Source organism: Homo sapiens, chromosome 4 (genome assembly GCF_000001405.40).
Source record: "Homo sapiens chromosome 4, GRCh38.p14 Primary Assembly".
Taxonomy (NCBI): Eukaryota; Metazoa; Chordata; class Mammalia; order Primates; family Hominidae; genus Homo; species Homo sapiens.
Genome location: NC_000004.12, coordinates 36,209,711 through 36,222,770, shown reverse-complemented (window position 1 = coordinate 36,222,770; position 13,060 = coordinate 36,209,711). Strand labels below are relative to the sequence as shown.

Sequence of the window (13,060 nt, the reverse complement as noted above, 5' to 3'; positions counted from 1 at the left end):
CAAAATATCATGTTACCATATAATACCATCTAGATTAAAAAAAAAATCTTGCCATAGTGGACCCAGACTTTAGTTTATTAAGAAATAATAAATTCAGCTAACTTTTCTGCCTCCTTCCTTTGTGCCCGGAAGTAACCAATATTCTGAAACTGGTGTTTATCCTACTCGTGCATGCTTTTGTACTTTTACTACAGATGCGATAGCATTGTTATAGATGTTTTTGATTAATGAAAATGATATTCTTTTGTAGTTTGGTGTTTCACTTACTATTTTTGTGATTTTTCCACATTAATATATATATTTTATATAATAACTTGTATAATGTTTGATTTTAAAAACAATTTATTATCCTAAGTTGTTGACACTTTTCAACTATTACAAATATGAAGTGTTCATTTTGAGGACTTTAAGAAACAAATGCACACATTAGGTTTACCAGGAGGACCAACAATTTTTTTCTGTAATAAAAATAACATTTTTTGCTGAGGTTTTATATTATGTAGGCCACTGCCTTATGTTCTGTAAAAGCATCATCTCATTAATCATTGTAATATTCCTAGGCAGCAGGCCCTGGATTTTCCCCCCTTTAATAAATGTGGAAAGCAGGTTCAGAACTTTTAAGTAACTAGGCTAACATCATACAAGTGTAAGAACAGGAGAGGATGATGACTATGGTTCAGTTTTTAATTTTCACAAATCAACATGCTTTATATTTCAAAGTTAAAAGCAGTTTTCAGGATAACTGGTAAAATAGTAGAAAAGAAAGACAAAATTGATCTTGAATCTTGGCTTTCTTCTTCTTAGCTGTGGGACTTGCGCTGGCAGAATTTCCCGCCTTTATTGGTAGGATTAGGATACCAAGTCCTACTTCACAGGGCTGATACAAGGAATTAATGTGAGCTGTAGCTAAAGAAAGCCACTTGCTTTTTGCTTTGGGCATAATAAGTGTTAGAATATAAGAAAGGTTGTGATAATTTATTAATAGATAAATGAAAATGTAAGTTGCTACTCAAGAGTTTTCAAAACAACTTACTTCCTATATTTGTGCCAATTTTTCATCTCCAGCAGTTCATCTGAACTTGGTTGATAGATTTGGTAATCCCTTGTAGGTAGATATTACATGAGGAAATCAATACAAATTATCACAAACTTTTTTCTTCACATTTTATTTATTGGTAAAACCAACAAAATATTCCTTAAAAATTCCAGTAATGGATATACTTAAAATATTCAAAATCTTTTTTTTTTAATGTAAGTTAAGCATTGTGGCTTAGGTCCTGGGTGAGGAACAAGACTGCCCAGGTTTGATCTCAGATCAGTTACTTATGAGTTGTGTGAACTTGAGTAAGTGACCTAACCCCTTTCTGTGCCAATTTTACCTACTTTTAAAAATGCGGATAATAATCTTATTTCTCATTTTTTTTATCTGTATGCTATATGTGTGTGTGTATACACATGCATGAGTCCTTTGACGATGGCCACACATTCTGAGAAATATGCCATTAGGTGCTTTTGTCCTTATTTGGACATCATGGGATGTACTTACACAAATCTAGATGGTATAGCCTATTACACACCGAGGCTATATGGTAGAGCCTACTCTTCCTAGGCTACAAACCTGTACAGCATATTACTGTACTGAACTGTAGGAAATTGTAAGACAATAGTAGATATTTGTGAATTTAAACAAATCTAAACATAGAAAAGGTACAGTAAAAATATGGTGTAAATATAAAAAATAGTACACTTGTATAGGGCACTTAACGTGGGTGAGTCAGTGAGTGATGAGTGAAGGTGAAGCCGAGGACATTACACCACTGTAGACGTTATAGACCCTGTACACTTAGGCTACACTAGATTTATAGCAATACTTTTTTCTTCAATGATAAATTAACCCTAGCTTATTATAACTTTTTAATTTAACTTTTCAAGCTTCCTACTCTCTTGTAATGATGCTTAGCTTAAAACACACATTATACAGCTGCACAAAAATATTCTTTATATCCTCGTTCTATAAGCATTTTTCTATTTTTAATTAATTTTTAAAAAGGTATAAAATTTACAACTCTTCCACGTTCCCATCTTCTGGAAGGTCTTCAGGGACAGTTACATGCATGGAGCTGTCATCACCTATGATAACAATGCCTTCTCCTGGAATACTACTTGAAAGACCTGACTGAGGCTATTTTACAGTTATCTTAAAAAAAAAATAAGTGGAAGGAGTACATTCTAAAATAAAATAAAAAAGTATAGTCAATATATGAACCAGTAAAATGATCACTTATTATCAAGTATTATGTACTGTGCATAATTTTATGCACTATACTTTTATATGACTGGCAGTGCAGTGGATTTGCTTGCACCAGCATCACCACAAACATGAATAACGTGTTGTACTGTGGTGTTGCAATGGCTACAACATCACTTGGCAATAGGAATTTTTCATTCTCATTATGTTCTTATTGGATCACTGTCATATGTTCAGTCTGTCATTGATCAAAACGTGCCGGGGATGACTGTACACACACACACACACACACACGTGTGCCTATATGTAAAAATCTGAGACCTATCTGGCATATTGTAAATGCTCAGTAAGAAGTAGCAATATTAATTACTAGTGCAAGTTACCAAAGACGTACAAAATTTGAGTACTGCTCCACTCAAGGGTTCAAATCAGTAGTAAGTACTTGCCTTAGTAGTATACAAATGTCAGGAAACAATTGCAGCTTTATAGAAGTATCGAGAATCTGGACATAATGAACACATAAAGGATGCTTTTAAAAAAGGTTTTACCTTTTAGGTTTGATGCAAACAGTATAGCTTTGCCCATTTTGTGATCTTAAAAAATTGCAATCTTATAGTGAGTATATTTTTAGTCTAGCTCATTTTGCTTAACTTTGAGAAACATTCATGTTTGTGCCTGTGGTTATAGTTTATTTTTCCTGCTGTATAGTATTTTATTGTATGAATATGCTATAATATCCATTCTTAATTTTGTTAGATATTTCATATTTTCTACCTTATCCAATATTTTATGTATATATTTATTTTTAGGTGCATGTGTGTATACATATATATACATGCATATAATGTAAATGTGTATACACATATAAATCAACTAGACATAATTTACATATAAAATAGACTAATTTTCCATATATACATGCTTATGTGACCACTATAACAATTAAGATTTAGAACATTTCCATCACTCATCTCCACTTTTCCCAAAATTCTCTTGTGACCATTTGCAGTAAATTCCCTACTTCCTGAATCAGGCACCTGTAGATTTCACTATTAGTTAGTTTTGCCTATTTGGGAATTTTATATAAATGGAGTCACACAGCAGGTCCTCTTTTGTATCTCACATCTTTATTCAGTAAGATGTTTTTGAGATGTGTCTGTGTTGTTGCATGTCAGATTGTTCTTATTGCTGAATAGTGTTTCTTTGTGTGAATCTCCAATTTGTTTATCCATTTGCCCATTGACATATATTTGGGTGGTTATTCTTGAGGCATATTTGTATGCATGGCCGTTGAGTACAGACCTAGGAGTAGGATTGCTGTGTCATGGGACATGTATATTTTCCATTTTTGTAGATAATGCAAAATGGTTCTTATAAAGTAGTTGTATGAATTTGCATTACCATCAACAGTGTATGTGCATTCCTCTTGTTTCATACCCTCAACATTTGTGTGTTTTTTGTTAGCCATGTAGATACATGTGTAGTGTTATTTTGTTGTGGTTTACATTTGCATTTCATGATAACTAATGAGATTGAACACCTTATGCACTTGTTTATTGACCTTTTGCTACATTTATATCTTCTTTGGTGTGGTGCCTTTTCAGATCTTTCACCTATTTTGGTTTTGGTTGTTTTAAATTGCATTTTTTTGTGTGTTTCTTAAGTGTTATTTATTCTTAAGAGTTACTGATAAACTGTGGGTATAAACCCCTTGTACAATATATCTTTCTGCCTCTGCATATTGTTTTTATTTTCCTTAATTGTGACTTTTTAATGAATAAGAGTTCTTCATCTTAATTTAGTCAAATTTATGTGCACTTTCCTTTAGAGTTAAAACTGTTATGTCTTAGGACACATAAAAATATTCTATTTTTATCTTCTAGCTTTATTGTTTGGCCTATTACACTGAGGTTTATAATCTGTCTTGAATTGGTTTCTGTGTATTGTCTGAGGTAGGAGTAAATTTTCATTTGCTTCCATATAGATGTGCAGGTGATCTAGTCTTTCAAAAGACCATACTTTCCTCATTGCTATAGGTTGATGTCTTTGGCTTAAATGCAATTGGATCTCTGTTTTTTTTTTAATATTTTAGTTTTAGGGTACATGTGCTGGGTTGTTATATAAGTAAACTTGTGTCACAGGTGCTAAGCCTAGTACCCAATACTTATTTTTTCTGATCCTCTCTTTCCTCTCACTTCCCCACTTCTAGTAGGCCACAGTGTCTGTTGTTCCCTCTTTTGTGCTCATATGTTCTCATCATTTAGCTCTTACTTACAAGGAAGAACATGTGCTATTCAATTTTCTGTTCCTGCATTAGTTTGCTAAGGAAAATGACCTCCTGCTCCATCCATGTAACTGGGTCTCTTTAAGTGGGTTCTTAATTCTAGTTCAATAGTCTGTTATCCTTTTTATCAGTAATATAGTGTTTTAATTACTACAGCTATATAATAAATCACGAAACCTGGTAGAGTATGTCTTCTCACTGTACTCTTTAAAAATTTGTCATTATTGGTCCTTTGTTTTTCACATGTATTTTAGAATCAGTTTGTTAAATCTCACACACCCCCTTCCCTGTAACTGTTTTGATTAGGGTTGCATTGACACTACAGATTCATATAGGGGGTATTGTCATATTTATCTAGTATTATCGTATATCTAGTATTATCTAGTATTATCATATATCTAGTATTATCTAGTATTATTTATCTAGTATTATCATATATCTAGTATTTCATATTTTTCTAATTTAATTAGATTTTTTTCTAATTTTCTCAGTAATGGTTTCCAGTTCAGTTCTTGCAAATCTTTTGCTAGATTTAATTCTAGGTTTTGGTAGTTTTTTAATGCCCTTATACTATTTGGCACCATTTTAATGTTTCATTTTGTTTACTGATATTTGGGGATGGAATTGATATTTATATGTCAACCCTATTAGTAAGTTTGCTAAAATCATTTTTATTTTTTATTTTTGTATTTTGTATTTTATTTATTTATTTATTTTTGAGACGCTGTCTCCCTCTGTCACCCAGGCTGGAGTGCAGTGGCGTGATCTTGGCTCACTGCAACCTCCGCCTCCTGGGTTCAAGAGATTCTCCTGCCTCAGCCACCCCGAGTATCTGGGATCACAGGTGCCTGGCGTGCCGCCACCACGCTCAGCTAAGTTTTGTGTTTTTAGTAGATATGGGGTTTCTCCATGTTGGCCAGGCTGGTCTCAAACTCCTGGCCTCCGGTGATCTGCCCACCTCGGTTTCCCAAAGTGCTGGGATTACAGGTGTGAGCCACCATGCTTGGCTGCTGAATTCATTCTGAAACAACTCCTTTTGAGGTCAAAAAATATATATATAAAGTTATAATCCTTTAAAGCATGTAATTTGATGAGTTGTGAAAGATATGTAAACCTATGAAATTTTTACCACAAACAATAAACAGAGCAGTTCTGTTACTTCTAAGAGTTTCTTAGTTTCTTATACAGTCCATCCCTGTTTCACATGCTCATATAGAATAAGATAGAATATGCAGTCCTGCACCACACAATGATGACATTGGTCCTGTAAGAATATAATGGCTATACCATGTAACCTATGTGTGAAGTAGGCTGTACCATGTAGGTTTATGTAAGTACACTCCATGATGTTTGCAAAATGATGAAATTGCCTAACAACCTATTTCTCAGGATGTATCCCTGTCATTAAACCATGCATGACAGTATTTCTTATGTCTTGCTTCTTTTGCTCAGCATGATGATTTTTGAGATTTATTTAGATTATTAGTTTTTTTTAGTAGTTTTTTTTTCTTTCAGCTGGGTAGTAGTCTCTTGGATCCATACACCACTATTTGTTTATCATTTACTTCCTGATGTCTATTTGGGTTTTTTCAAGTTTTTGATTATTGAGAATAAATCTGCTGTGACCATTTGTATACAGGTCTTTCTGTGAACATCTGTTTTCAATATTTTTGGTAGGATTGTTAATAGCTGGGCCTTGAAGTTTGGTGACTATTTATTTTTATAAGAAAATACAAGCAATTTTCTAAAATGGATGCACCCTTTCACATTCCTGCCAGCAGTATTTATTTATATATTTGTTTGTTTGTTTATTTGCTGCCAGCATTACTTAAATGTTCTAATTATTCCACATATTTTCCAACACTTGATATCGACAGCCTTAATTTTAGCTATTCTAATGTGTATGTGGTGGTATCACACATTCATATATTTTGTGATACAACTATTTGCATTTTTCCATTTTGTTTATTTTATTTATTTTTTGAGACAGGGTCTTGTTCTGTTGCCCAGGCTGGAGTGCAGCGATGCAGTCATGACTCACTGCAGCCTCAACCTCCTGGGCTGAAGTAATCGTCCCACCTCAGCCTCCCAAATATCTGGGACTACAGGCATGCACCACCACACCCAGCTAATTTTCGTTGTTTTTTTTTTTTTTTGTAGAGATGGGGTTTCATTATGTTGCCCAAGCTGGTTTCAAACTCCTGAGCTCAAGAAATCTGCCCACCTTGGCCTCCCAAGATGTTGTGATAATAGGCATGAACCACTGTGCCCAGGCTTAAAAAAATAGCATTTATTATTACTTATTTTTGTAGAGACAAGGTCTCTCTATATTGCCCGTGCTGGTTCTTTTTTGTTCTTGTGTGTGTGCTTTGTTTTTGTTTTTTTTTTTGAGACAAAGTCTTGCTTTGTTGCCCTGGCTGGAGTGCAGTGGCACGATCATGGGTCACTGCAGGGCTCCGCCTCCTGGGCTCAAGCAGTCCTCCCACCTCAGCCCCCTGAGTTGCTGGGACCAGAGGTGAACACCATGGCAGGTTAACCCATTTTAAAATTGAGTTGTATTTCTTATTACTGGATTGTAAGAGTCCTTTTTTTGGTTTGGGCAAACCACTTGTCACTAGTACGTGACATTATAAGTTTTAAATTTTGGTAAATACTAAATTTCAATGTTTTTTAGGGTTTTAGTTTTTTATTCTATTTAAGGAATCTTTCCTACTCAGATGTTACAATGATTTTTCTCTCATATTTTTCAGAATTTCTAGAGTTGTAGCATTAAACATTTGGGTCCCAACTCCACTTTGAGTTAATTTTTGTGCATGATATGAAGCAAAAGTTGACATTCATTTCTTTTCATCATTGAGATATCCAGTTCCAGCAACATTTGTTGAAAGGGCTACTCTTTTTCCACCGCATTTCTTCGGAACTTTTTTCTTAAATCGATGGACCAAAGATGTGTGGGACTGTATATGTGGACTTTCTATTCAATTCCATTGATTTATATGTCTATACTTTCAGCAATGGCACAATGATTGGATTACTGTAGTTTTAGATTAAATATTGAAATTGTATAGTATAAATCTGCCAGTTTTGTTCTTCTTTTTAAAAGTTATTTTTCCATTTTTTAGATGGAAAAGAGAACTCTGTTATATGATAGAAGGCCTTCATCACCCTCTGCTTCTACAATGTTTACCTCTGCCACTGCTGTTATCATGTTGTATTCTAAATAATTGCCCTGTAATATCTTCCTTCCGAGACTGTAAGATCTTTGAAAGATCTTGTGTGTATTTTCATATTGTGTCTACAGAGCCAGACACATTTTTGACTCAGTATTATAAAGCTAAAGACAAAAAGCTACACAAATACTGACATCTAGTTAGTAAATCTGTTTCAGAGATATGACTAGCAGTTTTGAAATTACTTTATGTGCATATTAGCATTGGAAAAATATGTTTACTTTTGTAAATTATAGATGTGAGTAGCAAACACTTGTACAAAATGTCCTTTGCAAAGAAAATTTCTTCCTTTAAAAGTCTAAATACAAAAATACATTTGTGGAATTTGGCTGTTCAGCTTTTTTCAAGTCAGAATTAATTTCTGAATATTGTTTTTTCTACCCAAAAGAATGTATAGCTCTCTAATAAATCCTTCACTTAAATATAAATCATAAATATTTTCTCATAATATTTTCTAATAATTTTAATTTTACTCATAAATATCATAAATATTTTCACTCATAAGTATTTTCTCCTTTGCTTTTTAAGCTATTTCCGTGAAAGAAGAAATGTTGCTACCTCAACTGAAAAATCTGTGGCATGGCAAAGTGAGTCTATGTGTTTAATGTCTCCTTAAATTAGAGCTCATTTGATAGTCTTAACTGTGTTAAAATCATGATTGCGAAGGCAGCCCACCTGTGGTATAGGGAACAATGGAAATAACTGTCTGCCAGTGTTCATAGTACTTCAGACACTTTTAAAATGGACTGAATAAAAGGCAATAACATACACTCTGACTCCTGGAAATTTGTACATGCTAATGTAAGAAGTTTTCTTTTTATACAAGCTTCATTTATCATTAGCCACAGTTGCAGGCATTTAACTAAATTAAATGGTTTCTGGCAGTTTGAGCTACAGAACAAAGATATATGTACGGAAAGTGATTTTGCCATGGTAACTGGAAAGGGCTGTCATTGTTGCTCTGGCAAATTGAACAGTGACAGAGGCTTTTCTTTCATTTTGAAAATTCTGATTATACAAGTTTGGGAACATTCTTTTTGACAATAAGATGTCAAACACTTGGGTACTGAATTTTTAAGAAAAATTTTTGCCAGAGTAGAAATGCAAATATTGAGAATTCTTTTTTTGTAGATTAGTATAATTCAAGGATGGTGGAACTTCTCTTGAAATAATTTATTTACAGATGCATTAGTAGCTATGGCATTAGAGGAATTATATTAAATGCCTTCTGGGATTTTAAGTGATATCTAGCTATTATGTTAGTGACCTTTTTATAATTATTTATTGTAAGTTATAGAATTAAGCTTAATTTTCTGCCATTTAGAATATTTCCTTATTTAGGAATTAGCATTATAAATGGCACCATGACAATTTATTTTGTATGTGGGCAATGTATTTGGTTATGTTAATGTGGATCCTAGAGGTTGGGAAGGACATGTGTGACAGGTTGCAATTTAAGGAGCAGTGAGTTATGTTTGTGAAGCAAGTGGTGGATACCATGTGTGTTATATCAAGAAGACGATGGGGAGAATTGATTTGGGGATAAGAATTAGCATAATTTGGACTCTTACAGAATAAAGCTTACGTTGTGATAATGCCATAAAAAACTCATGCTTTTAATCTTTTTTTAAAAACAGTATTTCACATTATTCACATCTTTCTGTTCTCATCCTGTAATTCCCCTAAAAGATTCAAATGAGGAGAATTCATCTTCCATCTTTCCTTATGGAGAGACCTTTCTCTTCCAGAGACTAGAAAATTCCAAGGTTAGTCCCATACATTTTAATTGTTTTCCATAATCAATTATTTGCTTTTCTGCCTATTTGTACCTCTTCATTTTTCTCCAAGCTATTTGAAGAATGGCATTATATTGAAGATTGAAATTTCCAGTCAGCAAAATTTTTGTTCAGTAAAATTATGGTAAAATCTGTCTCTTTCAATATACATTATAGGAACACATGTTTATTATGACTTCAGGAATCCAGGATAGTGAGTTTTAAAAATTTGCCACAAGATTGGGTTAATTAAACAAAAGACAAACTGTATAAAACTTAAGCACTCTCTAGATTTTTGCTTTGCCTTGTAGCCAAGTGCAGACTTCTGAAGTGCATAGATTTCCAATTATGTATATATTTTAATTATTTAGTTTATCACTCATTCTTTTCTATTACTTGTGCTCTTTTGCTACTTTATTTCTTGGTCTTGATAAAAGAGAAGTTGGAAGACAAAAATGAATCAAGGAGTAAAAGTACATAAATTTTATTTTTGGTTACCATTTTCTTTTATTCTTACTTGAATTGATGAGTTAACGATTTGAATAAAATAGTGAAAAAAAAATCAAAAGTCTGTTTAATGTAGACTAACTTTTTTTTCTGAAAATTGATCTAAGTAATTAGACTTATTTAATAAAACTAAACTCAGATATTATGGATTTTTGTAGAATATTGCTACACATACAAACAAATCCCCAAACCAAAAAGCAAAACAGTATGTGTTTTTTGTTTGTTTGCTTTTTTAATAGAAGCGATCTATAAAGAATGAATTTTTGACCCAGGGAGAAGCACTCAAAGGGGAAGCAGCTACTGCAACAAACTCTTTTATCATCAAATCAAGGTATGAGATCATGATTGATGATGATTAACTATTTAGAATAAACTGTTATACAATGTTGACTTCTCATTCTTAGTATAATATTGTGTGTCAGAGAAAATAGTTTATGGTGATAAGTTCAATTTTTTCCTCTCTAAATGTAAGCATAGCAGCACCCATTTTATTAATTGAATTATGCTCTGTAGATCAAGTAAATAGTTGCATTCTGTGGCAGATTATTTTTGTCTTTTTCTAATGGAAACCACACCCCTTCCCCACAGTAGCAAATACAGGTGACTATGATTGCACATTAAAGATGAGAGGTTATGTTAATAAAAAGGAGAAAAGGGCAGTGCAGAACATCACTATGCAAGTTGCAGACTTTTACAAGTATAATATATTCTTTTTATTGGAGTTTCAGCACTGGCAAGAAGCATGACAATTATCCAGTTATTTGGATCACATACAGAGTTAGAATTTGTATGCACCAACTTCAATTTTGGTTTTCTCTCAGCTTTATTGGAACTTGGCATACTGGCACATTACCTGATACTTCATTTTCTTTTTCTTAATTTTTAATTTTTGAGATTACATAGTAGATGTATATATTTCTGGGGTACATAACATATTTTGATATAAGCATAATATAATCACATCATGGAAAACGGAATATTCATCCCCCAAAGCATTCCTCTTTTGTATTGCCAACAGTTTAATTATACTTTTTAGTGGGACATTCATTTTATTTTTGTCTTTCATTTTCTAAGGCTAACATTGTTATAGGTTTCCCTCAGTTAAAGCTAAACAATTAAACATCTTTAGTAAACATTTGACATAATCTAATATAATGCAAAATATGAAAGGGCCAGGCTAAATTATTCTTTGAGGCAGTAATGGTTTTTAGAATGCTATATCCAGAAAGATGTAATTTGAGCCCAGGCATATCTGTTTCATTGATTAGCAAAAAATGTCCTTTGGCATTAATGAATGAGTTGATCTATTATGTCATCCCTTGAATCTGTAGAAATATGCTTAGCTATTATGAATGCATTCCAATAAATATTGTGCATTACATAGCTTTTACTTCCTGAATGTACACTGACCCTTTCTTGCTTTCTAGCTAGCAGTGTGCTGCAATATTTTTCCTCATCAGCATTGCAAAATAATACTGATGCTCTCAGCAGTCAGGCATACTCTCTGTTTTATTGCATTGTGGTGAAACATGGGGTCCTTGGAGTTGATTAGAGGATAGTAGAGAGGGGTAAGCAAATTGGAAATAAGATCTCCATATAGATGAGTTAATGGTCCGTCATGTTGCCCAGAGGGATTGGGCTGGCCACTTAATTGTGCTATTAAAGATGTTTAAATTGTGATGTGAAGAATATACCCAGTCTGCATTCTTAGCACCTGCCCCTAACCTTCCAAAATAAAAGGGATAAGATTAAATTATACCTAAGAAAAAACTTGTAGTAGTATTCAGATGTCATAGGTTAATGAAATAATTTTACTTAGCTTTTCTGGAAGAGTTTAAAAAATTTTCAATAGGGTTAATGGAAACTCTAGGATTTTCCTGGCCTTATGTTTCTGTTATTAGTTATTTATAAATTTTCAAAATGTCACTGATGTCTTAAATCACATATAGCACTTTGAAATGTTTACATCATTTTTCCGTTTAGCATATACGATAACAGAAAGGAGAAAATAAGCGAGGACAAGGTGGAAGATATTTGGATACCTCGAGAGGACAAAAACAATTTTTTGATAGACACTGCTTCTGAATCAGAATACTCAACAGTAGAAGAATGCTTTCAGAGTTTAAGAAGAAAAAATTCAAAGGCATCTAAATCTAGGACTCAAAAAGCCTTGATTTTGGACTCCGTTAATAGGCACAGTTATCCGTTAAGCTCAACAAGTGGAAATGCTGATTCATCAGCCGTTTCTTCACAGGCAATATCTCCCTATGCCTGCTTTTATGGAGCATCTGCAAAGAAGGTTAAATCAGGATGGCTGGATAAACTCTCTCCTCAAGGGTATGTACGTATGCATTTATTTCATAAGTGGCATATTTTTAAAATTTCAAGTTTATTCATTTCTAAACCTCCAGGGTTGCTGTTCCCCCACTCCACCGCCACACACACACATACACAGAGATGCCATTTTTAGGGACTTTCAGCACACTTTTGCCAGTGCTATTCTTTAGACATAAGGAGAGAGATGTGCAATGCAATGCTGCATTAAGGTCCAGAGTCGCAAATTAAAATAGAAAGTTATGACCTCACATCTAATTTCTTAATGTTACCTTCTAAGTTCGCATCAAAATGTGCTAATCTGTGTCCCAGTATGTAACAAAGAAAAACAAGACAGACTGAGTTAGTATTACTCAGCCCACACTGTTTGGCTTTTGCTCATATCATAACAGTGTTCTGTTTGAGAATACAAGGCTTATTGTTGTTAGGGAAAAGTACATCTTTGTTAGGTTTAGGTCTTCACTATTATTGATATCTTATTTTGATTTTTGTATGTTACACAGAAGGTCAGAGTCCCGTGAATATTATACTTTTCTTTGGATTTATCAACAAATGTTTACAAAGAAACTTTTGTCCCTTAAGCATTTTACAGTACTGAGAAATCTTTAGGGAAGGATTATATTTAATTAGAATTGTTTACTGGCATCCTAATTTTTAGATGTCTTTTTGAAATATTTACTTG

General features: G+C 33.3%; 1 protein-coding gene across 16 annotated transcripts in view; it reads left to right on the top strand.

The window, feature by feature from the left end:
• The window catches only part of ARAP2 (ArfGAP with RhoGAP domain, ankyrin repeat and PH domain 2), a 239,381-nt gene that overhangs the window by 22,014 nt on the left and 204,307 nt on the right, over nt 1-13,060 (top strand). For 14 of the 16 annotated variants that reach the window (XR_007096352.1, XR_007096353.1, XR_007096350.1 and 11 more), the window contains exons 3-6: nt 8,291-8,349; nt 9,452-9,528; nt 10,284-10,375; nt 12,028-12,381. Coding sequence is in view for 7 of the 16 variants with exons in the window: in XM_047449575.1 (XP_047305531.1) it covers nt 8,291-8,349; nt 9,452-9,528; nt 10,284-10,375; nt 12,028-12,381 (582 nt within the window). In the remaining 9 variants the exon portion in view is untranslated. The remainder of the gene's footprint in view (nt 1-8,290; nt 8,350-9,451; nt 9,529-10,283; nt 10,376-12,027; nt 12,382-13,060) is intronic. The other 2 variants (XR_007096351.1, XM_047449573.1) reach the window with 1 other exon arrangement.